This window comes from Homo sapiens, chromosome 1 (genome assembly GCF_000001405.40).
Source record: "Homo sapiens chromosome 1, GRCh38.p14 Primary Assembly".
Lineage (NCBI taxonomy): Eukaryota > Metazoa > Chordata > Mammalia > Primates > Hominidae > Homo > Homo sapiens.
Window position 1 is genome coordinate 6,056,569 of NC_000001.11, and position 26,239 is coordinate 6,082,807.

Here is a 26,239-nt window from a genome sequence, read left to right on the forward strand (position 1 = left end):
CCAGCCCTCAGTTCAGCTGTGTTTTCCTCTGCTCCCCATGGTGCTGGGAGTGAACCCAAACTCCCCGCAAGGCTCTACGTGGCCCTAGCCTGCCTCCTTGGTTTCAACTCGGACCCCTCTCCCTCCCGCTCAGGAGGCTCTGGACGCCGCCCCTTCCTTCTGTATCCCCAAAGGGGAACTCATTCCATCCACAGGGTCATCGCACTTTCTGTTCCCTCTTCCTGGAGGCTGCCTCCCCAGACGTGGCCTGGTTCCTTCCCATTGTCACATCTAAGCTTGGTCCCCAAAGAGACTGTCCCAAGCACCCACTCTAAACAAGCACCTATGAAGTCATCAGAAGCCCCTCTCCTGAGTGAGTGTCTTCCTCACCCCTCCTCCATCTCGGTTGCCTTGCTCTTTGCCCATCTGCACTGCTTTGAGATCAGAGCTTTGTCTGTCCCTGGCACCCGGAACACCCCCAGCCTCTGTGAGTTTAGGTCGGAAGGCGCTGCGTGGTCTTGGTCTTAATCTACTTTCCAAAGCACATGTCTCGTTCGGGCTGCATCCTAGATGGTGGGAAGACAGGACTGACTGGAAGCTGGTCTGAGGCTCTCTCTGCAGTCCAGATGTGGATGGCAGGGAGCCTCTGCGGTCCTTGGGCACTGACCCTTGGTCATGAACTCCTGGCAGGGCAGGAGTCCTGATTTCCTGTGCTTTCTGACTCTAGATCCCAGGCTCTTACCACAAGCTCAGGTTCACCAGGAAGTACTTGGTTGGTTGCCAGGTTCATTGAGCAGACTGTAGTTGCTCAGTTAACCATAGGCCATCACTTCCAGCTGGGAAGAGCTGGGAATCCAGGTGTGTCTTAAAGGACAGGCGGGAAGGAGGGCACTGAGGGCAGGAGGAGGGGAAGGAGAAAAACAGCAGAGACCAGGGGGGATGGCAAGTTAACCTGTCTACAAGGCCAAGTGCATCCTGGGAAAGAGGGGTCCCCAAGGAACGGGGTCCATCTTGGGAAAGATCCTGTTTTACTTTCCTGAGGCTGCTGTAACAAGCTGGGTGGTTTACAACAGAAGCTTTTTCTTTCCCAGTTCTGGGAGGTGAAAGTCCAACGGCCAGGTGCAGCCGGGCCATACTTCCTCCGAAGGCCCCAGGGAGGGTCCTTTTTGCCTCCCCCAGTTTCTGGTGGTGCCGGCAGGCCTGGGCATTCCTCAGCTTGTGGCCACATCGCTCCAACCTCTGCCTCTGCCGTCCCATGGCCATTTTCTCTCTGTGGGCCTCTGTCTCCAAATCTCTCTCTCCTTATAAGAACACCAGTCATGGCCAGGCACAGTGGCTCATGCTTATAATCCCAGCATCTTGGGAGGCTGAGGCAAGTGGATCACTTGAGTCCAGGGGTTCAAGACCAGCCTGAGCAATGTGGCAAAACTCTGTCTCTACAAAAAATGCAAAAAATGGCCAGGCATGGTGGCAAGTGCCTATGATCCCAGCTATTCCTGAGGCTGAAGTGAGGATCACTGAGCCCAGGAGGCAGAGTCTGCAGTGAGCCGAGATCGAACCACTGGCACTCCAGCCTGGGTGACAGAACAAGACCCTGCCTCAAAAACAAAAAGCAAAAAACAAAAACCCAGTCATTGGATTGAAGGCTGACCCTAATCCAGGACCATCGCATCTTAACTTGATTACATTTGCAAAGACCTTGTTTCCAAATAAAGTCACACTCACAGGTATCAGGAATTAGGATCTCAACTGTCTTTTGGGGACACATTTCGACCTGCCACAGGCCCCAAGGATTGACTCAACACCTTGAGCCTGCGGGGACATCCCTGAGTGTCCTGGGAGGAACCCGGGCTCCCACCGGCTACCTGTGTGACCTCAGACAAGTCCCCTGGCCTCTCCATGACTCGATTTCCTTACCCGGAAAGTGGAGACCGGGGTCACTACAGCAGAATTGTCCTGAGGACTAAATAAGCTCCAGGTGACATAACTCAAAGCTCCAGGCTTGGCTCATTGTGGGAGAGAAATGCAGGCCCTTCCCGTCCCTGGAAAAGGGACCTTCCCACACAGCAGTCGCTGTCCAGGCACCTGGACTGTCCCCTGTCTATCCATCTTGGGGTCTCACTCGTGCACCTAGTCTCACTTAGAGATGTAGTTCAGTGCCGCGCAGACAAGGGGCGGAGGCATCAGGAAGGAACAGGAGGAGGGAGGGAGGCGAGCAGCCAGTCATTCCGGAAGAGCTGCCGGGCCAGACGCAGGGGCTGGGAGAAAGCCAGCTGGCAGGCCCAGTGCTCTCCTTGAGGGCCTGCCCAGGACCACGGCTGGCAGCTGTGTGGGGCTTGGGTCGGGGCTGGGAGGGCTTCTGCTGGCAGCGGGCACCACATTGGAGCCTCGGTGGTCATGGTCATCCCAGGCCTGGAAACAGCATCCGTCTGCAGCCCCAGCCTCTCCAGCCCCAGCTTCCCTAAAGGGACAGAACAGCCCTTCCCTCCCCCACAGGGCTGCTGCAGGAGAGGTGGGAGGAAAGGCAGAGAGACCCAGACTCCTGCACTGGGTGGTTGCCTTGTAACCGACTGATGATGTGCTAGGTGTTTCTGGAGCTGACCTGGCCACAGGAATCACGGGCCATACCTGTTTTTCCTGTTTTTTGTTGTTTTTTGTGTTGAGACAGCGCCTTGCTCTGTCGCCCAGGCTGGAGTGCAGTGGTGCAATCATAGCTCACTGCAGCCTCAGCCTCCTGGGCTCAAGTAATCCTCCAGCCTCAGCCTCCCTAGTAGCTGGGACCACAGGTGCGCACCACCACACCTGGCTAATTTTTGTGCTTTTTGTAGAGATGAGTCTCACTAGGTTCCCCAGGCTAGCTGGGAACCCCTGGGCTCAAGCGATCCACCCACCTTGGCCTCCCAAAGTGCTGAGATTATAGGCATGAGCCACTGTGCCCAGCCACACCTGTTACACTACCGATCCCCAGGCCCCTTCCTGGAGGTTTGGGGCATCTTCCCCTGGAGGCTCTTCGGACAAGCAAGGAGAGGGAGCACCACCCATGTGCTGGCGCCGTGGTCATTGTTGTTGGTCTTGTTACGTCTCAAAGGGTGCTTCTGAGGACAGAAGGAGGAAGAGAAAGAGAGGTGCTCGCTTGGGGCTGGAGAGTTGCATGGGAAACAGCAGCAACTCAGAGCAGAGCCGGCCATCTCACAGCCGCGGGCCTCTCTCCCCTTTCTGGGCTCCTAGAGTTGGAAGTGAGTGGGGCCATGAGGTCCTGGTGAGCAAGAGGAAGGAGGAGGAACTGGCTTTGCAGACCGTGCAAAGCCGGTTCCCGGGAAGCACACACATGGCCTGCAGGAGGCCTTGTCCTAGCATCACCTGCAGCTTCAAGCACAGTCCACTCAGCCCAACCACAGAATGGGCCCCGCCAGTGGGATGTGCGCTCTGGGCAAGGCTCACATGTCCTGTCATCGGTCCTGTGGCCTCCTCCTTCCCTCGGCCTCCCACTGTCCCTCCGTGTCAAGTCTCCCACCATCTGATGCGCCCTCTGGCAAGGCCAGTGAGTCACCCTACTCCAGACACAGAACCTGCTGCTGCCTCACAGGCTCCCGCCATCTGCCCTCCTGCCTCTGCTCTCAGGAGAAGGACACTCCTGGAATTCCACATGGATCCCACCTTCTCCCTGGAGCCCTGCCATACTCCTGGGCACCGCTGATGCGCTCTCCTGCTGGCTGACTTGGCCTTGAACACGGGTGGCTCAGGCCTTTCCCAGGGACCCTTGCTTCATGCCCCAGCTGGAGGAAGCCACACTCACAGCACTTAGCCCCTATGGGGTCTTCAGCTCTTACTCTCCTGGTGGACTCCTCCTCCAGGAAGGCCACCGGCCCTGCCTCCCTTTGTTCTTAGAAACTGCTCCTTTGGGGCAGCCCCTCAACTGTTCAACATCCTCTGCCCTTCCTTGGGCAAGAAGCCACCTTTGGGTGTAAACCACACTCCGTTCAGCACGGACAAGGCGGTCTCTGCAGGATGCAGACCCTCAGTCTCACTCTCGGAGGAGCTGCTGGAGGCTGTGCTTTTAAAAGCCATGTCAGGCCAAGCGTGGTGGCTCACGCCTGCAATCCCATTACTTTGGGAGGCCCAGGCAGGTGGCGGATCACAAGGTCAAGAGATCGAGACCATCCTAGCCAACATGCTGAAACCCCGTCTCTACTAAAAATACAAAAATTAGCTGGGCATGGTGGCACGTGCCTGTAGTCTCAGCTACTCAGGTGGCTGAGGCAGGAGAATTGCTTGAACCCAGGAGGTGGAGGTTGCAGTGAGCCAAGGTCGCACCACTGCACTCCAGCCTGGCAACAGAGCAAGACTCCGTCTCAAAAAAAAAAAAAAAAAAAAAGCCATATCTAAAACCTTCTCCAGACCTTGAGCCCTCCACAGGCCTCGTTCTGTGCATGAGAGGGCATCCGCCCCCTTCCACTGCGAGCCTGTTGCCATTGTAGGGGAGGAGCTGGCCGGCCCCAGCTTTCCAGCCTCTCCAGGCCCAAGGGGGAGGAGTGGACCCCAGGCACTGAGCCGGAAGCCTCCGCTACAGCAGGGATGCTGTCTGTGGTGCACTCCAGGGACACAGAGCAGAGCTTTTAATGGGGGTGGCTGCTCTCCAGTGAATCACAGCAAGAGCTAGCTGCTTCATCTTATCAACAGCAGGTACCGGAGAGACAGAAAAAGAACCAGAAATGGGTTGTAGGTTGAAGTCAACCAGCCACGCTCCATGCCTCTGACCAAAGCCTACCAGCACTGGGCCGGGCGGTGGCTCACGCCTGTAACCCCAGCACCGGGCCGGGCGGGGGCTCACGCCTGTCATCCCAGCACCGGGCCGGGCGTGTCCCCACACATGAATGTTCCAGGCTTCCCTTGTCTGGACGATGTGATCAGGGAGACACCATCCCAGATTCTGGCTGGTAACAGAGCAGGCCTCCTCAACCCTGGCACCATTGACACTTGGGCTGGACAATTCTCTGTCATGGGGCAGCATCCGTGGCCTCTGCCTACTGCCAGTAGCACCTCCTGCCCAGTTGGGACAACCAAAAATGCCTCCCTATGCTGCCCAGTGTTCCCTGGGGAACAAAACCCCTCCCAGGTAACATGCACTGATACAGAGTAATCATCTCTGCCACCAATTTTCACAGATTATAACGGAATATAATGTGCATAATGCAAAAATTATATTGAATTCTTTTTAAAATTACCCTCCACCCCACCTTATTCCAAAAAGGATTGTAGGTGACGTTGTTAAATTAATCTGCTACCATGAAATTTTTAAAATAAATAATAGCAAATATGGGGAAAATGGAAAATAAGGGTAGGTCAGTAAAATAAGTCGGTGGTAAAAATAAAATACCAAATTCACCCACTAGATGACCAGGCAGTGACTGGTGAGGGCTGTGTGTTTTATACAGACTTTCCGGCAAAGAATAAACCCACTGATTGCTTAGAAGTCCAGTGTCAGCCAAGCGCGGTGGCTCACGCCTGTAATCCCAGCATTTTAGAAGCCCAAGGCAGGCGGATCGCCTGAGGTCGGGAGTTCAAGACCAGCCTGACCAACATGGAGAAACTCTGTCTCTACTAAAAATACAAAAAATTAGCCGAGCGCGGTGGCACATGCCTGTAATCCCAGCTACTCGGGAGGCTGAGGTAGGAGAATCACTTGAACCCGGGAGGTGGAGGTTGCAGTGAGCCAAGATTGCACCATTGCTCTCCAGCCTGGGCAACAAGAAAAAAAAAAAGAAGTCCAAAAAAAAAAAGTCCAGTGTCTCTAAAATTTCTACCTTGGGTTCTCAAAAAAGAACACAATGTGAGCTAGGAAACGCCATTCCCCCAGTAAGTGGGCATTTGTCTAGCAGCTGTTTGTGTCCCTTAGTATCATATCATAAGGAACATAAATTAGTCTTTCCTGGGTCCATTGATCCAATATTTATTGAAGGCTTTTGGGCACGTGACATGGTGCTGGACGGTGGAGACACCAAGATGACCACATGCAAACTGCTCCCCACCCCCTGGTGTCCCTGGGAAGAACATGGTCAGTGGCGCTCGGAGAAGGGAGGGGTTACTTGTGCTGGGGGCCTAGCTTCATAGCGCACACACACTGTCTGAGCTGATGTCACAAGTGACTCCGAGTTCAAAGGCAGAGAAACAGGAAAGGCACTTCCACAGGGAACAGCAGGAATAGAAGCCCAGAGGGTTTTCAGGCAGGTGACTTTTTTGGGGGAGATGGGAACAGCTTTATTGAAATATAATTCACGTGCCATACAATTCATTTAATGCAATTATATGGAATTAAGTGCAATTCAGCAGTTTTCATGTATTCAGAGCTGTGCAAACATTGCCACAATTTTAGGATATGTTCATCAACCCCAGAAAGAAGCCCCATACCCTTCAACTCTCACTCCCCATTCCCACCCCCTGCAACCACCAAGCTTTCTGTCTCTACGGATTCGCCTATTTGGATTTTTTTTTTTTTTTTGAGACGGAATCTCACTGTCGCCCAGGCTAGAGTGCAGTAGCGCAACCTCGGCTTACTGCAGCCTCCAGGTGCAAGCGATTCTCCTGCCTCAGCCTCCCGAGTAGCTGGGATTACAGGCGCCCACCACCACACCTGGCTAATTTTTTATTTTTATTTTTAATAGAGACGGGGTTTCGCCATGTTGGCCAGGCTGGTCTCAAACTCCTGACCTCACGATCCACCTGCCTCAGCCTCCCAAAGTTCTGGGATTACAAGTGTGAGCCACCGTGGATATTTCATATGAATGGAATCATACGTGTTCTTTCATGACCGTCTTTAACTTAGCATCATGTTTTCAAGGTTCATCTGTGCCTGTGCCAGTAATTTTTTTTTTTTTTTTTTGAGACAGAGTCTTGCCCTGTCACCCAGGCTGGAGTGCAGTGGCATGATCTCAGCTCACTGCAACCTCCACCTCCCGAGTTCAAGCAATTCTCCTGCCTCAGCCTCCCGAGTAGCTGGCATTACAGGTGTGTGCCACCACAGCCAGCTAATTTTTTGTATTTTTAGTAGAAATGGGGTTTCACCATGTTAGCCAGGCTGGTCTCAAATTCCTGACCTCAGGTGATCCACCCACCTCAGCCTCCCACAGTGCTGGGATTACAGGCATGAGCCACCACACTGGACACTTCCTTCTTTTTATGGCTGAATAACACTTCATTTTCTGGAGAGGGCTACATCCTGTTTCTCCATTTGTCGGTTGATGGGTGTTTGGGTTGTTTCCAGTTTGGGGCTATTGTGAATAAGGCTGCTGTGGACATTTGTGTTGAAGTTTTTGTGTGGGCGTATGTTTTCAGTTATTTGAGGACATAGCTAGCGGGGGGATTGCCTGGTCATGTGGTGAGGCCGATGACATTTTACACTTGGTGACTGAAAGTCTCGTGAGTCTCCCTGAACTCTGTGCTGCTTAACGTGCACCACTGGGGTAAGAACACCCCTGGGGAAGAGTAAGATGCCAGCCATTGTGGGATCCGATGTTGCCAGCCTTTGTGGGATCCGACGGTTTACCAGAGTGCAGAGAATGCGTAAGGAAGAGGTAGAGGATTTCTGCGTCTCACTAGGCCAGCATGCGTAGCACCACTTGAAGCTCTTGGTAGAAACGCCGCCTTCCGGGCTGAACACCGCCTTCTGGGCTGGGCCTCAGAGCCACTGATTCCGTAGGTCAGGGGGATGCCCAGGACCCTGCCTTTGTAATAAGTTCCCCTGACATGATCAGATGTTGAACAGCCCTGTCCTAGACGGTGAGCGCCATGAGAGCAGGTGCCTTGTGATACACAGTAGGCACCCAGAGGCTCTTTGAACAAATCAATGTGATCCTTTTTATAAATAGGGAAGGGGGCTGTTGAAAAATTCTGTTAGATAGTCTGAGCAAATTCCATCTTGGCCCTGGCTTTGCACATTTAGGGGAAGTAGGGATGCTAAGATTTGCTGCTGGTCACACCCTATAAAGAGCCTCCAAGTAGGGAGAAGGGTAGGGGGCAAAAGACTTAACCTGAGCCCTAGGTAGGGGCCAAAGGTGGAATGGTTGCCATCTGTGCCTCTTCAGCAGCCCATGAGCTCCCGGGAGGCCAGGGCTGTGGCCTTTGAATCCTGGGGTCCAGCCTCAAGGAGGGGTGGGCTGTGCATAGGGTTGCCTATCCCCCGTCACCCCACCACCTTCCAGTGCCCTTAGTACCTCCTGGCAGGACAAGAGGGGGCCCAGAAGGCAGCTCTGACCAGGGTCCACCTGCAGGGTGTGAGGGGGACACTTGGGATCAGAGGGCAGAGCCAGCCCCTCCGGATGCTGAAGAGGATGAAGTAAAGTAGGGCAGGGGCTTCATTCAGCCATTCACTCACTGATTGCAGAGTATGTATTGAGCGTCTGCTGTAACCTAAGTTTTACTGGGAGTGTTGGAATCTCTCTGTCCCTTTGACCCCCGCGTTTCCTTCCTTGGGCCATCTGTGTCATAACCATCAAGACGCAGTGGCTTCTTCACATTTCTGGTGATGTTGCTTCTCCATGTGCCAATCCCCCAGCGGATACCCCACTCTCCGGAGGGAGAACCCCAAGCAGGTGCCGCTGGGCATGCGCCAGGGAGGCTGTGACCGGAGCAAGCACTGCCTTGCTTGGAGCTGGCTGCCTACAAGCTCAGACATCCAGCCCGCAGAGTCCACCCTGGCTGCAGCGCCTGCCCAGGCCTCAGGCCAGTCCTGGCTCAGCAGCTGTCAGCCCGGAGCAGCCAGCGATGGCCTCAGGGGACCAGCCAAGGCAGGCGGCTTGTGCATCCTGCTTCATTAATAATGAATGGCCAGACGCTGCCCGCGCCTCTCCCTGGTCGCCTCATTGACATGGTGGGAGCCTCAGCCGCCCACAGCGCGCAGAGCCAGGAGCTGGATCCCAGGCCCCCTCAGAAAGACTCAAGAAGCCCCGAGAAGCAGCTGCTCCCCAAGACCCCCTGAGCTGCTGCCCCAGAAGAGCAGTCACAGCGGCCCTGCGCAGCCCCCCAGGCCATCACCTCCGGCTCCACAAGTGACACCAGAGAGAGCCCTCCCTTCTCCAGTCCAAGGAAGGCGGGTGTGCTCATCACCCGTCACTCATCATCAGGAGTAACTCACAGCCCAGCCCTGCCCAACACTTTTGGAGACTGTTGGGCTGAGGACTTGGGCAGCCAGGGCTGGTTGAGGGTGGGGACAGAGGAAGGACCTGCAGAGACGAGAGATGTGAGGGGAGGAGAAAATGCGCACCCCCCAACCTCCAGCCGCGCTTCCAGCAGGTCTTCTGTACCTCGGGCCTGGAAATGTGACTCCCTCCCTCAGAGCTGTGCAGCCTTCTTCCCCACCGTTGCCTTCGGAAATCCTCACTCCTCAAGGAATGCCTGCAGCTTCCTTGGCTTCTGGATAAAGTCTCGTCCTGGTCGGGGGAGAAGAGTTTCTTGGGGACAGATGGCTCCTGAGCCCAAGGGGACAGGGGACGCAGCCAGGATCTGAGCACCCGGCCTCAGCATGCAGGTGTCCTTCGTTTGCTCGGAGCACAGCCTCAAGGGCCGGGGCCCTGAGGATCGGCTGGGCCGACCGGCGGCCAGCAGTCCCAGCCTGGGCTCCCGAGGCCGCTTCCGCGCCGTGGCCATGGTGGCCCGGAGCCTGGGACAGCTGTCGGTGCAGAGCCTCCCGTGTGCCGGTGACACCAGCGTGAAGCAGCAAAGGATGAAATATAGGTACGGGGGCACACAGCTTTGCAGGGTGGGGGCTGACCTCCCGGCCTCCCCAACTCCCCACCTCCTCACTTTCGAGAGCGCATAAAATCTGCAAATCCCCATTTGTCAGACTTGGGCAGTTTGTGCTGAGGGCCGGGAGGGGCTGTGCTTAGTGCTTGGTAGATGATGAGAAACAGCGTGGAGAATCCGGTCAGTGCTAAGTTTCTTTCTTCCCAGTTTCAGGGGGAGATGGTGAGGGCGCCGTCTTCCTTCCTTCTGCCTCTGTTTTCTTTCTGAGGGTCGTTTACAATAGCCAAGCCACCAATGCTCCCTTTTCCTGGGGAACCCTGAGGCATGGGCCACAGGGCCCCCCCAACATCCTCCTGCCCTCCCCTGGGCACACAGGCTCCACAAGATGCCCTGGGGGTGGTCTGATATCTTTCCAGCCAGGCCACCATGACAAACATCCGTTTGATAGTGAGGGACTGTGGGGTGAACCCTGTGATGGAATGAATCTTCCCTCCTCCACCTGAGCCAGGCCCAGGGCCCAATTCCTCTAGCAGGCGGGACTCTTGCTCCAGCAGGCACAGGCAGCCAGGCCGCATCTGGAGTTTCCCGATGGTCAGCCCAGGCACCTTGCTTCCCTCCACCCGGGCTCAGCCCCCATCTGGCTCCCGGTGCTGTGACTTGTATGTGGGGAGGATGCCGACCACTCATGTCAGGAGCAGGGCCTCCCTCCTCTTCCCTGCCGGGGCCTTTCTCCAAGGCTGGGTGAATGTGCCCAGGATGGAAAAGGGAGGGTCCCAGCTTTGTACAAAGGGTCCCGGGAGCAGGGTTCTGGGGCACCCTTCTGGGGGCCGGCCTTCCTCACTCCCCATGTAAGTCTCTGAGTCCAGAGCCTTGATTGCGTCCAGAACCATCCTCCAGGCATAAAGGAAGTCTCCACAACACGTGGTCTACAGAAGCTGGAAAAGCTAAATTAGGTCTCTGGTTCCCAGGTTTCCTGGGAAAGTTTTCCCAAAACAGGAACCGAACTGGGGACAACTCTGCTTTTCAGTGACCTGAAACTGGAGTGCAGGCCACCAGCCTCAGAAACAGCCACAAACTGTTCTCATTGCATTTGGGAATCTTCTGGGTTTATAGCTGGTATGGGTGCCAACCTGAAAAGCATTGTGAGTCCATCCTGATGCCTGAGCTGTGTGGCTTAAACCTCTACAAAACCAATGCCTGAGAGTTGGGCCTCGTGTGAAAACCGTGTCATCTAAGCCAACCCTTGCTGGAGGTGAATTCTGGGATGACTCTGGGGGTCCTGCATCCACATTCGTGTCTCTTCCTTCCCTGCGTCCTGGGAGGGTGAGACATGCTTTAATGAACCTCTGGGCTGAAAGTGTCCAATCCTCTAAGCTTAATGACAGTCCAGAATGGAATTCTCTGTTCTAGAAGCTCTGGGGTTTACATCTTTTGTTAAGTAGGGATCAAAAGCTAAAATTAGAGCCAGGAGAGGTGGCTCATGCCTGTGATCCCAGCACTTTGGGAGACTGAGGAGGGTGGATCACTTGAGCTCAGGAGATCAAGACCAGCCTGGCCAACATAATGAAACCCTGTCTCTACCAAAAAATACAAAAATTAGCTGGGCATGGTGGTGTGCACCTGTAGTCCCAACTACTTGGGAGGCTGAGGTGGGAGAATTACTTGAACTCAGGAGGCAGAGGTTGCAGTGAACCAAGATCACGCCACAGCACTCCAGCCTGGGTGACAGAATGAGAGCCTGTCTCAAAAAAAATAAAGCTAGGAGTAAACCGAACATGTATATGTATATTTTTTGGTTCAGATACCTATTGCCTTCTGCAACTTTTATGTCAGTCCTAGGATCTCAAAGGAGTTAAAAGCGGGACTATTTCTAAACATAAGGCACTATGTAATTGGAAAGTGTGGCTGTTAACACTGTTTCCCTCCTAAAACTCATTGAGGAGTGGCTCTCAGAGGGTGAATGCTCACCACGCCCATGTGTGTGCTTATGTGTGCATGCACACACGTGCGTGCTGGAGGCAGGGAGGGCAAGACAGGGCAGTGAAGGGGGGTGTTCATCAGGCTGGCAGGTTTGCAGTCTGTGGACCAGAGTTCAAATCCCAGCCCTGGCACTCTCTGACTGAGGGCGGGTTTGCAGTCTGCAGACCAGAGTTCAAATCCCAGCCCTAGCACTCTCTGACTGAGGGACCCCCATCTCTCCAGTGGAGTTGCAAACACCGCCTTATACCTGGCCAGGCCTGGGAGCTTTCCTTGCTGCTGTCACGGCGGGAGGGTAGGTTCATAGCCCTGTAGGATGAGGTGCAGTTTCACAGGGGCTGAGATGGGCCTTAGAATCCAAAGCCTGTGCCATCGGGCACCCCCGCCCCGGGCCTCTCCCATCCCACTCATGCGGTACCTGCGTCATGAGTTGCTGCACAGGGACTGTCCCAGGGCCACAGCCAGGGTGCAAGAGGGGGGCAGCAGGGACTGAGGGGGAGCCTGATCCCAGCCTCCCTGTGACTCTGGCCTCCTCCCTGGGAAGCTGGCCCTTCCCAGTGGTGTGCTCCAGGCACAGCTGTCCAGTGACACGCACAGTCCACAGGTACTAGGAAACTAAAGGTGCATGGCCAGTACCAGGCGCCACATTCTTGCCCAAGGGCCTAAGGCGTGCTCAGTGTAGGATGGCGGGAGGCCAAGCCTGATAAGTAAGGGAGGGGCCAGCACTTGGTCCCGAGAGTCTGACCCCAGGGCCTGGGCTTCTCACCCCTGAATTACTACCCAACATCGTCCCAAACAAGCACTCCCTGGGACCCTGCCACTGCCAGCTCCAATTAGAAGACAAAGACTGGAAGCCCAGCCTGTCCTTAGGGAGCCTGGAATCTCGGAGCAGGGCAGGCGTGCAAACATCATCACTGCACGGAGCAGACAGGCGAGCAGGGCACTAACAGGAGCCACCCCATGTGCCTTCCTCCGCAACCAGCTAGCCAAGGCCACGGTGCTTGCCCTTCACCTGATCACAGTTTTGTCCTCTGCCCAGGTGGCTCCAATGAAAGGCCCCAAACTCCTCTTTGTAAAATGACCTGTCATTTCCCGGAGCCTTCCAGCTCCGGCCCTTCCCAAGTCTGAAGTGCAGTTTTTAGGGGTGTGCAGCAGCCGGGGGCTCCACGATGGGCATCAGTGCTCCCCTCCGGCAGAGGTTATGTCTGTGAGTCCTCACTCCAGGAGTCCAGACCCCAGGAGAGACATGAGGCAAATTAATGAAGACCGACAGTATTTGGGTTTCGAGATGTTGACCACCTGCTTCATTAGGATGTCAGGTTTCAACGATGGGGAAGAAATCGGTAGAAAATGATCTCTGTGTCTGGGAAGTTTCAAGTACAGCAGGGAGCAGCCCCATCCAGACCCGGCTGAGACGTGTGCTCCCCACCCCACACGCAGCAGCCATGCTTACAAAGCGTTCAGCCTGGAGGCGCCCTGTCCCTTCGCATCCCTTCTCCCGAGGCCTGGCAGCGGATGGCAGAACCAATACCATCATTTTCACAGGGAAACAAGTTGAGCAGGGTAATTGCGGCATCACGTGGTGCCCTAGTTTTGTTAAATTAGTCCTGTGGGTGGTGGGTGGAAGAGCGGCTGAACCCAGAGCCCACTCGGGGAAGTGGGCCCATTTCCCAACACTCAGACCAGGAACAGATATGGAATCAGGGGCAGGGGCACCTTTTGCCAGCCCTCCCCAAACTGGTGACCAAGGGGTGCCTCTTCTCTTCAGCCCTGACCTGGCCTTCAGCAGAGCCTTTTCAAGCAACTGTTCCCCACAGTCACTCGTGGAGGTGGTTTTGCAGAGGTGGGGGCCAGGCCTCCCTTCTCGATGCCCAGACATATCTAGACCAGTGGGGTCCAGGGCTCTGTGAACACCCAGACATTGCAAGCAAGGTTCGTTCTGAGGGCATTCGTATCTAGGCATATTTCCAGGCTTTATCTGTTTTTGCAAAGGGGTTATGACCCCAAAGCAGCTGAGAGGCACTGATCAGAACCTCCAGCCCTTTGCTTCATTATTGGACTCCTACTAAGCATTTATAATTTCTTACCACAGTTACTTTCTAGCCAGCATGGGGGAAATTACCTAAACTTCTAAACTGACCAGGCTTATGTGGAATGTATTAGTGGTACAGTTGGGCTGTTCTCCCCAGCAGCCACAGACACGAGTTATTCTGGGTTGGAACATGCCAGCAATTCAGAGGGTACTATCAAGAGTATTTCACTGATGTATAAGGAGGAAAAAGGAAACTTCAGTTCCTTTTTAACATGGTAATAGTTAAAGCTTATTTGATTTGTCCATTGTTTTTGAATAAAGAAAAGGTTACCCTCCTGCTCTCTTTGGGAAATGAGACACATGTGAGTCAGTGTCCTGTGGCCTTCTATCCTCATGGATCTTCTTCTGTCCTCGTGGCAGCCACCGTGAGAAAGGCAGCCTCGTGAGCCCATTCTGCAGATGAGAACACTGAGGCATCGGGCCACTCCATAAAATGCCCGGTGTCCTCCAGCCAGGAAAGTTGTACCAGGATTTGGGCTCTGGCTTCAGAGCCTCAGCCCATAGCCGCCACCCGGTGCGCCCCTTTCCTGAAAGAAAACTCAGCTTTTCTTATGTTCTCCTTTAGGGAAAATCCCAGCTCTGCCTACAGGAGCAATATTGCTGGCAGCTGGAGTGGTTTTAATAGGAAATTGAAAAATAAACCTAGGCAATTTTAAAGTACCTTCAGTTTGGTGACACGTTCAACTGTTTTCAAGCTGCTTACAAATATTATATCCACTCATGAGTTAGGAGTCCAGGAGCCTTATAACCAGGGAAACCGAGGCTGAGAGGGACAGAGTGGGCTCGTGTCAGAAGTCGGGGGTTCAGAATGAGGCTTGAGCCCCATGCCGCCTTCCCAGGGGCCAGGCTTGGACAGGAAAGAGGATAAACTGAGGACATCGCATCCTCCGAAGTTGGAAGTGTCATGGCCCCAGGGAAATGCAGGGCCCTTGGGCCAGGAGGCTGGGCCTCACCCGCTGGTAACTCATGGCTCTCACTCCCCACCGCCTAGAACCAGCTGCCCCTTGACCAGATGCTGGCAGCTGGATTCCACAAGGGAAGTGGAATCTGACCCCAGATGGGTCAAGGCCTGGCTGCAGCTGTGAGATCCACCCGGCCACTTGTCAACCTCACCATCTGGGCAGATCACGCCCTGCTTAACAGGCTGGGGTGTGGGATGCATGCCACCATGGTGGGGAACGTGAGCTGGCAGCCAACTGCCTGGGTGGGATCCAGCTCCTCCGCGTGCTGGGCAGGTATCGTAACGTGGGAATCGATGTCACGACAAGCAAGGCGCCTGCTGCGTAGGGCACCTGCCGCTTAGGACTCCTGCCACCGCGTAGGGCTCTGCTGCGTAGGACTCCTGCCGCCGCATAGGGCTCTGCTGCGTAGGACTCCTGCGGCGAGGGCTCCCTCCTGCCGCGTGGGCTCCTCCTGCCGCGTGGGCTCCTCCTGCCACATAGGGCACCTCCTGCCGCGAGGGCACCTCCTGCCGCATAGGGCACCTCCTGCCGCGAGGGCACCTCCTGCCGCGTGGGCTCCTCCTGCCGCGTAGGGCTCCTCCTGCCGCGTAGGGCTCCCGGGAGGATCCGGGGACAGGATGCCTGGGGACTGCCTGGCCTGCTGCAACCCTGCAGGCTCCTAGGCAACCTGTGCCAGGACATACGGGCATGCCGGTCCTCAGCAGAGGGCTGCCACCCTCCTTCACCTCCTAAGGACAGTCATGATGGCCCAAGGCCTGTTCCTGTGGACCCTGGGATGCACCACAGTGGGCAGGTGCCTCAGTGGCCCCGGGAAGGAGCCCGGGCAGCTGTGCTTGGTTAGGAGGCCTACGCTGCCAGGCTCTGCCGCTGCTGTTGGGCCTGGCTGTGGCTGTAACAAAGGAAGGGCTGGCCTTGCTTGAGAACTGGCAGCCCTACCATGGAGCTCCCCGCACCCCGAGGGACAGATGCACAGGCCATGTGGTCCAGTGAAGTGGGACGATCTCCTGCCCCAGTCGCTGGAGACAGGAAGAAGAGACACAAAATCACAAATGCAGCCTTAGAGAGGAAGGAAGAAGGGGCTTCTCTGCAAGGGGCGCCGCATGGATGGTGCCATGGGGGTGAGACCAGTCCAGTTTCGCCATAAAACAGACAGCGTCCCTGTGCATTTCCATCTGTCCTTGAGACCACTCTGCAGACCCCCACTGGGCACCAGCAGGGCCCGTGCCAGCAGCATGGTGTGGGCCGGGGGCAGTTGGCACTTTACCCCCGGGGTGGGTGAGCAGAGGCACCTCTCTGAAGGTCCCCGGTGCCTTTCGGAGCCTCCAAACACACATTGACTGTTGGGGGAGTGGGTGGGGGGCTGGCCCTGGCGGGAACTGAGCCTGGCTGGCAGGGTCCTGCCTGGGTGCTGAGAACTCACGTGGCGTTTGTTTTTCAGGAACCTGGGCAAGTCTGGCCTGCGGGTCTCCTGCCTGGGACTTGGTGAGTGTGGGGGTCCCCTCCGTCCCACCAGGGAAACAGGCTGTGGGGAGGCCGGGCATGGACTGAACTGGACACCCCTTGGGAGGCAGGGTGGCCCAAACCTTGGCACTCCCCAGGGAGTAGCTGCACCCAGAGCCCAGGATTCAGGGGGGCTCGGTTGCCATGGCAACAAAGAGGCAGGTGGGAGGGGGGCTGGGATAGAGGGAGAGAGACACAGTCTCAGCAGAGGAGGTGAGGCGGATACTAGGGGCCCCTCCACACATGGTCCCCACCCCACACCACAAAATCAGAGGCCCTTAGGGCCCCGGGAGTGCAACGAAGACACCTTACCTTCCAAGGCAGGCTCAGCTCGTGAGTCCCTCCTGGAGCGCCATTGGATTTGGCCCTTTTTCCTCTCCTGTCAGATACAAGGCCTGTTTCCAGAATGTGCAGTCCCCACCTCCCCTCTGCATGCAGTACACACACCCCCACACACACACCGCCCACTGCAGTACACACACCCCGCCCCCCACCAGCACCCACTGCCCTGACACCGCCCTCCCCGCTCTGTCCCAGCAGGAGCACGCAGACGCGGCTGTCAGACCTGGTGTGTTTTCAGAGAGGCATCCCTTGTGCCATTTCTTGCGGCATGTCCTTGGAACTAGAGCTGCCTCAGTACAGCTCTGACCAGCATTTCAAAAGCCCCAGACCTCCTGGACCCATAGCCAGCAGCCCGCTCTAGAGACTTTTGTCCCCTCAGTTTATTGACCCCAGGAGAGCAGGACTTTCTCTGAAGGCCAGCTGTCCACACACACTAAGGACACCCTGGCCACAGAGCAGCACAGAGGGACACCTGTGGCTGCCCCCTGTGCCCTACAGCCTGAGGTCTGAGCACCGACGGGATAATCTGGCTTCCTGCCAGGTTCCTAACTTGAGCCCCTGTGTCTCCTTCCAGGAACATGGGTGACCTTCGGAGGCCAGATCACCGATGAGGTAAGATGGGGCTCTCCCAGCACCCCAGAACCCAGCACGGGCTCGCCAGAGCACATGGTTAAGTCTGCCGCGTGGACCAGTGAGCACGTGCTCCCGGGAGCCAGCGCAGCAGCCTCCCTCCCTCTTTCTGTTTTGTGAGGGCGCCCTGCCCCAGGGGAGAGTAGAAAGGTGAGCCAGGTGGCCATGGCCAGAGGGGATGCCGAGTCTGGTGCCATCACCCAGCAGTGGATGCCTCGGGCCTCAGCATGTCCCTTAAGCTCCCCAGGACTCAGATTTCCCACACGCGTGACCCCCATTCCACAGTTAACGAGGAGAATTCAGGGTGCACACGCTTCCCAAATTCTGAAGCCGGATGCAGGTCCTAGCTGCCCCCATGGAGGCTCCAGTAACTGTCTGTCTTGGTCATTGGGAATGCAGCCCCTGCAGTGTCACAAGCTGAAGAACCTGAGATCTGCATTTCACCCAACATCCACTGTCCATTTCCCAGCTGCCGCGAACCGTGCGGATCGCAGTCAGATGTATTTGCTGGGGCTCATGTCCCCACAATTGGAACAAGAAAGTGAACACTAACAAAAAGCCAGCTTGTATGCCGCCAGCGCCTCTGGGTCTCTCGGAAGGACAGGGACGGCACACGCCCAGACATGTGTGCTTCTGGACAGTGAGGCAGCATCTCAGAAATGAGAGCAGTGGCATTTGCTCAGACAGCTCTGGGCATCTGCACAAGAAGCAGTTTTCACATTTATCCTACTTAGCACTAGAAAGGTTGCGTTTAAAAATTGATCAGCGAATTGATGTGAGACCTTGTTAGCTGCGATTGCTCAGTTTCCAAGGGAAAGCTTTGCTTCTATCAAAATTTAAATGCGTACAGTTTGTGTTTGAGGTCACTTTTATCTTTAAGACACTAGCTGGCCGGGCGCGGTGACTCACACCTGTAACCCCAGCACTTTGGAAGGCTGGGGCGGGCGGATCACCTGAGGTCAGGAGTTCCAGCCTGGCCAACATGGTGAAACCCCATGTCTACTAAAAATACAAAAATTAGCTGGGCGTGGTAGGGGCGCCTGTAATCCCAGCTACTCAGGAGGCTGAGGCAGGAGAATTGCTTGAACCCAGAAGGGGGAGGTTGCAGTGAGCCGAGATCATATCACTGCACTCCAGCCTAGGCCGTAGAGTAAGACTCTGTCTCGAAAAAAAAAAAAAAAGACAATAGCTGGTTATAGAATGATTTGCCCCTTGCTTTGAAGTTGCTGGATAGGCGCTATCTCAGGGTGAAGTCTGGAGTTATTAAGGCAAAAGGAATTGCCTTACCTCAGCCCACCAGATTGGTTCAGTTGGAGCCCTGGGGCCCATATGGTTCAATCTGAATCAGCCTTGCCTGACTTGGCCTCGTTTCCCTTTCGATGTGGTTTCTAAACCAGGATGGGAGAATTCTGTAGAACGGCATAACTTCATTTCCAAACAATATTAGCTGGGTGGCCTGTATGTCCTTGTGGGAAAGATAAAAACAAGCAGACAGACTAGACCCATCCAATGAGATGACGTTTTCACCAGCAAACCAGGCATACCCTTAGAGCATTAATGAATGGCCCAGTGGCAGCCCCGCTGGCCCAGGCCTCTGCAGTGTCTCCATCAGGAACACAGTGATGGACATGTGTGAAGATATTGGAGGTCATTTCTAGATGACACCAAGCTGGAAGGACAGAGAATAAAATAGATGGCAGTGTCAGGGTTCTGAATGGTTGTGGCAGGTGAAAATGGCTTAGCAAAGGAGCAAGACAAATTTTTGTATTAATCCTATAGTTAGTGTCAAAAAAGAAATCAATACATCTAGAAGGGGGGGCCCGCCTGGCTGCGGTTCAGATGAAAAGGGTTTGTGCACTTCAGGTGCTGCGGCTCAGTCCGAGCCAGCAGGGAAGCAAGGACCGTCCTGGACTGCTTTTTTTGTTTTTCAGTTTTTTATTACATATATGAAACATAAAATTTGCCATTTTAACCATTTTTAAGTCTACAGTTCAGTGGCATTAAGTACATTCACATACTGTGCCACCCTTACCAATATCTGTTTCCAAAATATTTCATCACCCCAAACAGGAGCTCTGCACCCTTAAACAACAACTCCCCATCCCCTGGTCACCTCTAGTCTACTTCCTGTCTCTATGAACTCTGCACACTGTTTGTATAAATAAAGTTTTATTAGGACATAGCCACGCCCATCATTTACACATAGTGGCTGCTTTCACTCCACAAGGGCAGAGCTGAGTAATTGCAACAGAGACTCTCTGGCCCACAGTGCCTGAAGCATTTACTATGTGGCCCTTTACAGAAAAGACTTGACGTCTCCTGTTCTTTGGGCCGCAGCAGCTGTACCCTGCACTATCTGCAGGGCTGCTGTGTGAACTGCTCAGCCCAGTTCTATGCCATGCCAGGGACAAAATGAAAGCTTGCCCAGGGGTGGAACAAACCACCTGGTGAGGCAGGAATGACAGCCACCCTCACATGGCACAGGGCAGAGTCCACAGTTTGTAGGACACCATCACACTCTCAGCCAGTGCTCACAGGAGCCCATGAAGGGATCAAACTATGCTAGGAACCCTAAAATGACGTAATGCCTGTCGGAGCCACCACGGTGGTTTCAGGTCTCCAGCCCTCCCATTGTTAGGTGCCCTTTCTGTGGCCTCACACTCCCCATTAGAAGCATGTGTTCAAGACAAGCTGGACAATAAAAATTTAATAGATGTAATGGTTGAGAACCTAACACTTATTATCTCACCTAATCCTCTATCAACCCAGGGAGGCAGGTGCTATTCCCAGTTCAGGGAAGCTGAGCCTCTGGCTATAAACAGGTGCAGGGGCCTCACCTGGCCTCTGGCCACAGGGGGTTCCACCTGGTGCTCTTTGCCTCAACGCTTGCGGCCAGTGCTCAGCTGTGGGGTAACCGTACTGGGGTAGGGACAGATTCCTTGTCCCCCCAGATGAGGGTGACAGGGAGGTGGCCTGTATGTCTCCTGAGCTTCCTTCTGACTTCAGTGTCTGGGACCCAGATACTGGAAGGAACCAAAAAGTCACAACATAAAGGCTGCGTAAACTGAACCAGGATGCAGCCACAGAGCGGAGGGCTTTAGAAGTCATGTTTTAGGTCTAGGGGCGGTGGCTCATGCCCGTAATCCCAGCACTTTGGGAGATTGAGGCGGGTGGATCACAAGGATAGGAGTTCGAGACCAGCCTGGCCAATATGGTGAAACCCCATCTCTACTAAAAATACAAAAAAATTAGCGGGGCGTGGTGGCAGGCACCTGTAATCCCAGCTACTCAGGAGGCTGAGGCAGGAGAATTGCTTGAATCTGGGAGGCGGAGGTTGCAGTGAGCCATGATCGCACCACTGCACTCCAGCCTGGATGACAGAGCGACACTCCATCTCAAAAAAAAAAGAAAAGCATGTTTTGAAGAACAGCATGGGAAAGGCCCGTGACAGCCAATGGAAAATGCAGCCAGCATAGACAGCAGTCTGTGGAGTAGAGCTGCAGTTTTCTAGGGAAAGGGCAGAAAAACCTGGAAGAGAAAGTACAGCAAAATCAGAGCCGTCAAAACATAAATAAATAAAATAGTGAGAAAGCAGAGCCCCACAGTGCCGTGAGTCGCTCCCTCTCTTTCCTGCCTCTGGTCCTGCCAATCCCAGGCGCCACCCTGGATGTAGCTGGAATTGTATGGTGGCTTCGTTTTTGCTGAGGGACAGGTGAGGTTAGGGTTGGTGTCTGCAGTGCCGGACCCTGCTGATCCGGCTGTCTGCACGCCTTCGGGGGTCTGTGATGACCACAGGTTTCTGTGATTGGCCGGGCTTTCCTCCCAGGAGGGAGCCAGGTGTGTTCAGGGCCACCGTGCTCCGGAGCGGAGAGCGCCGAGCCCTTTGTTCTTAGTCTATGAGCAGGAGTGGGAGGCCTCCCGGTGGGCAGAGCAGAGCCAGGAGCATCCGGGGCCCCGCCTCAGGCTTGCGGAGCCCCTGCCTAGCGCCAGCTCCCTGCCTGCTTCCAGCCTCTTCCCAGTCACTGTCTTTCTAGAGAGGGCGACAGGGTAAAGAGGCAGGCAAGACACCGTCTCCAGTGGTCGAACAGCATGCTGTGGAGAGGGTGCGAGCTGCCTGTGGCTGCTGTAACAAATAGCCACCAATGCGCGGCTGAAAACAGCAGCAACGTATTCTCTCACAGCTCTGGGGTCCAGAGATCCAAACTCGGTACCCCTGAGCCTAAGTCCAGGAGTCAGCCGGGCCGGGCTTCCTTCTCCCGGCCAGGACCTTTCCCGGCCTAAGTCCAGGAGTCAGCCGGGCCGGGCTCCCTTCTCCAGGCCAGGACCCTTCCCAGCCTCTTCAGCGTCTGGCGCTGCTGGCCTTCCTTGGCCTGTGCCCGCATCCCCCAGTCTCTGCCCCTGTGGATACTCTCCGTCCTCCTCTTCTGTCAGTCAAGTCTCCGTCTGTCTCGTCCTCATAAGGTCACCTGTGATGGCACTGAGGGCCCACTTAGCTAAGCCAGGACATTCTCCCCACTGCAGAGTACTCACGTTAATCCCATCTGCAAAGTCCCTCTTTCTACCTAAGGTCACATTCCCAGGTTCCAGGGACGTGATACCTTTGGAGAACCATTATTTAGTTGACTGCAGAGAAGAAAGTAGAAAAAGGAGGGCAGGGGGGCGGGGGTCCTGACGACAGGGTGGTCAGGAAGCAGAAGCGAGCAAGGACGCCACGTGGTGGTCCAGAGAAAGAGCCTTCGGGGGCCAAGGGGACAACCAAGGCACAGCCCTAAGGCCGAGTGTTGGGGAGAAGGGGATGCAGGGGATAGAGCTGGGGGTCAGGGTGCAGATCTGGTGGAGACTTTGGCTTTGACCCTCTGCGAGATGGAAGCCCCTGGAGGGCTTTTGCATGGAGGAAATTTGACCTGATTTAAAAGGTCTGCCAAGGCTCGCCCTGGCTGCTGCACTGGGAATGGCGAGTCATGAGGATGTCCCAGAGTTCAGCGTGTGCACGATCCCATGTACTCGGAAGGCACATCCTGATGTGGCAGGGCTGTCGTGGAGCCTGGGAGGCCGCATTTCTGATCTCATGCTGATGCTGGCCCATGGACCACGCTTTGCCTGGGGAAGGTGCAGGGAGAGAGGATGGAAGCAGAGAGCTAGGAGGCTATTGTGAGAAACCACCCAAGAGCCGCTGGAGGCTCAGAGCAGGGTGGGCACCGTGGAGGTGGGGAGACGGGTCAGATTCTGGACTAATTTGCAGGGGAAGCCGCGGCAGGGGCTGAACTTCAGGCTCCAGTGATGGGAGGATTAGTCAAGGAGGGCTCCCCAGGGTTTGACCGGAGCACAGGTGAGCGAGACCTCCCGGGAGCTGATGCTGCCGCAGGCTGCCCTCCCTGGCCCACACCAGCCCCAGGGCCTAGAGTGCCCCTCCCCCACCCACTCTCTCCTTGCCTGCCTGACAAACTCCTAAACACCCTTCAAAACCCAGTCTTTGTCGGCCGCACTTTGGGAGGCTGAGGCGGGCAGATCACTTGAGGTCAGGAGTTCGAGACCAGCCTGGCCAACATGGTGAAACCTCATCTCTACTAAAAATAGAAAAATCAGCTGGGCTTGGTGGCATGCACCTGTAGTCCAGCTACTCAGGAGACTGAAGCAGGAGAATCTCCTGAAGCCAGGAGGCAAAGGTTGCAGCGAGCCAAGATTGTGCCACTGCACTCCCGCCTGGGCAACAGAATGAGACTCCATCTCCCAAAAAAAAAAAATAACCCCAGTCTTGGATATTCTGGACATGTGATACCCCTTGGATGAACCTTGAACCTTGAGGACATTACACTCACTGAAACAAGCCACAAAAAGGACACACGGTGTGACTGCATTTGTCTAAGGTGCCTAGAGTAGTTAAATTCATAAATACCAGAGAATGATGGGTGCTGGGGCTGGAGGCAGGGAGCGGGGAAGGGGAGTTACTGTTCAATGGGTACAGTTTCAGTTTAGGAATATGACAGGGAGATGGATGGTGGTGATGGTTACACAACTATGCGAATGTACTTACTGCCATTGAACTATGCTTGAAAAAGGTTAAAATAGTAAATTTCATCATATATATTTTACCACAACTTAAAGTCTCTTTGATAAATGCAGTAATGTTTTAATTAAACAAAAAGAATGAAAGGGATCTTCATGAGCAGGTGTGGATTGGTTTTTAGGATGTATTGTGAGTGAAAAAATCAAAGTGCAGAAACATATGGGTAGTGTGCCACCCCTCCTGGAAGAAAGATGGGGGATAAGAAAATACATGTGTCTGAAATATAAAAACAGAAAACGGAGCCCTGGGTCCCCTCCTCTGAGAAGCCCTGCCAGGAGCGTGAGTGCCCTAACCACAGACTTAGCCCCTTCGGGGCCCAGCGCACCGTGCCCTCCTGGGCTCTCTCCTCCTGGGCCTGGATGTGGGAGGCATCTGGGAAAAGTCAGGAGGAAGACGAGGAGGAAGCAGTGAGCAGGTGAACAAGCCACCCGTCTGTCCGTGCTGGAGCCCTGGTGCTGGGAAGGAAAGTGCTAGAGGTGGGGAGAGATTCCTGGGCTCTCCCTGGGTGGGCACATCCGGGAGGAGGAGGCTGGGGGGGCAGCAGCAGGTCCCTCGGGCGGCGGATGCATTTGATGCATGGATGCATTTGATACCTCAGGGCAGTTGAGCTGCAGCAGGAAGACAACAACAGAGCCCCGGCAGGTGGATCCTGAAAACCGACGGCCTCCACCCCCGGGCTTCCTGACTCAAATCACAGCCGCTCACTAACCGGGGCTCAGCTTCAGCTGTGCTGTATTTCAGTGTCTGAGATGTTTGGGGATGAGTGCCAGTGTCGCCAGGCTGCCGGCCAGATTTCCATACACCCCCCACCCACAAACATGCTGCCTTTCTGGCTTCTCTTGAGAGGTTGGCAGATCTCTAGCACCAGGTCCGCCTTCCCACGTGCAGCATTTGGGCATGGGCCTTCTCCCATGGGTGCCCCCCAGTGGTGGCTACTCCGTCCTCACTCTCCATACCTCCTGGCCACAAGGGCTTCTGAGTTCAGAAAGGAGAGACGCAGCCCTGTGAAGCCACCCCTGGCTGGTTTTCTGTCCTATGGTTTTTGAGGGTTATTAAGAATTATTCACCCCACGCTGGGCTTGTTGCTGGTGAGGCCCAGTGCTCTGAGCCGCACCTGGGGAAGCGTGACACTCAGAGGGAAGCAGCCCTGTCCGAGAGCCAGAAGCTCAGGGGCACCTTTCTCTCCGGCCTCTTGGAGGGAGCTGTCACTTGCAGAGGGGCTCCCCTCGCTCCATGAGTCCCACCCCACGACCAGTTCTTTGCTCATGGAGCACAATCGCGTCCTGACAGCAGCCATGGAGCAAAGTCTGATGCACAGCGCATTTAGCTCGGGCAGTCATTCATCCATCTTGCCCATGAGGCAGCCACCACCACAGCAGTGCCGCTCAGGGCCGGGAGTATGTGCCGTTGGAGAAACACTGGACAAGAGGCCAGAATGGATGTCACCCACCATGCACCAGCTGTGGGATGTCAGTTGCTCCATCTACAAAAATAACAATTCAGTCCTCATGTGCAGGTGCTGGGAAAGATTCAATGAGGTACAACTGAATACACCGCCCTGGCTTTAAGGACATAGACTCATCCCAGCAACATCCACAGAGCCCCTGCTGGGGACTGCCTTGGTTTCCTAGGACTGCTGTAACAAAGTAACATAACCTGGGGGCCTGAAACAACAGACACCGTTCTGTCACCTTCTGGAGGCCAGAGGTCTGATACCAAGGTGTTGGCAGGGCAAGGTTCCCTGTAAAGGCTCGGGGGAGGGTCCGCCCCATGCCTCTTTCAGCTCCTGGGGGTTGCCAACAGTCCTTGGCTTGTAGACGTGTCACTCTGGTCTCTGCCTTCGTAGTCTCATGGACTTCTGTGTCTGCATTTTCTCTCCTTGTAAATCACCAGTCACATAGGGTGTAGGACCCACCCTAACACAGTACGACCTCATCTTCGCTAATTACATTGAAGAAGGCCCTATTCCCAAATGAGGTCACCTCTAAGCTTCTAAGTAGACATGAATTCTGTGGGGATACTGTTCGACCCAGTACAGGTGCTAAGCCCTGTGATGACCCCAACTGATGGGGTCCCTGCTCTCAAGAAATTCACAGTCCTTGGCAGTTTCTTCATTCCTTTTGCCTTCTTTATTCTTCTCAATGGGTTTGTTACTGAGAGCTGCCTCCATCCCTGTCCTGTGGCAGGAGAGGGCAAGGAGACAGCCCACAGGGGAGCCTGTCGGGCCCGGGAGGGCAGGGCCTGGACACGGGGAGGCCTCCCAGGCCGAGAGGGTGGTGCTCCAGAGCCTCTGGGCCCCACCCCCGGCTGGCAGGACAGTGTCGGTTTTCTCGTTTCAGATGGCAGAGCAGCTCATGACCTTGGCCTATGATAATGGCATCAACCTCTTCGATACAGCAGAAGTCTACGCAGCCGGCAAGTACGTGTCTTTTCACACGGGAAAAAGTGGTTCAGAATGCCTGGGCAGAGCCGGAGCTACAGGGATTCCTGCCGCTCGCGTTCCCAAGAGTGCTCACAAATGCACCTTGCACCCTGCTTTCATTTTTAAACTCTGAATGGCTTTAGGAGGTGCTATTTTCATGGGGCTGGAATTGCAGAACACTTGGACACTGATCACTTGCTGAACTCCCCGTGGAGCCACCAGGGGGACCACAGTCCCTCTGGTGCCAAAGATGCTGTGCTGGGTGAGAGGCGCGATGGAGCTGCTGTCCTGGGCTCTCCTGATGTGCCTGACATTTTGACATTTCATGTCTCACTTGTGCAACTAGGGCTGCAGGGCCTCAGAGCTGGGGAGGGCAGGCTCCGGCCAAGTGCTGTGGGGAGCACTTCCCATCTTGGCGGTGAACTTTCCTGCTCAATTATGTAAAAGCTCAGCCTTCTTCAGCCAGGCTGTTGGCTTCAATTTTAAAGACTGGCTGTAATCAAATCATCCACTCTCCTGCATCGGGTTTC

General features: G+C 55.1%; 1 protein-coding gene across 15 annotated transcripts in view, besides 2 other annotated features; it reads left to right on the top strand.

The window, feature by feature from the left end:
• The window catches only part of KCNAB2 (potassium voltage-gated channel subfamily A regulatory beta subunit 2), a 108,505-nt gene that overhangs the window by 63,893 nt on the left and 18,373 nt on the right, over positions 1–26,239 (top strand). For all 15 annotated transcript variants that reach the window (XM_047432866.1, XM_047432870.1, XM_047432872.1 and 12 more), the window contains 3 exons: positions 16,187–16,230; positions 17,165–17,202; positions 25,627–25,706. In XM_047432866.1, the coding sequence (XP_047288822.1) occupies positions 16,187–16,230; positions 17,165–17,202; positions 25,627–25,706 (162 nt within the window). The remainder of the gene's footprint in view (positions 1–16,186; positions 16,231–17,164; positions 17,203–25,626; positions 25,707–26,239) is intronic.
• Positions 3,499–3,999: an enhancer, noted in NCBI's record as "H3K4me1 hESC enhancer chr1:6120127-6120627 (GRCh37/hg19 assembly coordinates)". NCBI's record gives its function as "activates a minimal SCP1, AML or CMV promoter by ChIP-STARR-seq in primed H9 embryonic stem cells {active_cell/tissue: H9 hESC(primed)}" and the evidence as "EXISTENCE:reporter gene assay evidence [ECO:0000049][PMID:30033119]".
• Positions 16,898–18,097: an enhancer, noted in NCBI's record as "CDK7 strongly-dependent group 2 enhancer chr1:6133526-6134725 (GRCh37/hg19 assembly coordinates)". NCBI's record gives its function as "activates an origin of replication core promoter dependent on BRD2, BRD4, P300/CBP, MED14 and CDK7 cofactors, with strong dependence on CDK7, by STARR-seq in HCT116 cells {active_cell/tissue: HCT116}" and the evidence as "EXISTENCE:reporter gene assay evidence [ECO:0000049][PMID:35650434]".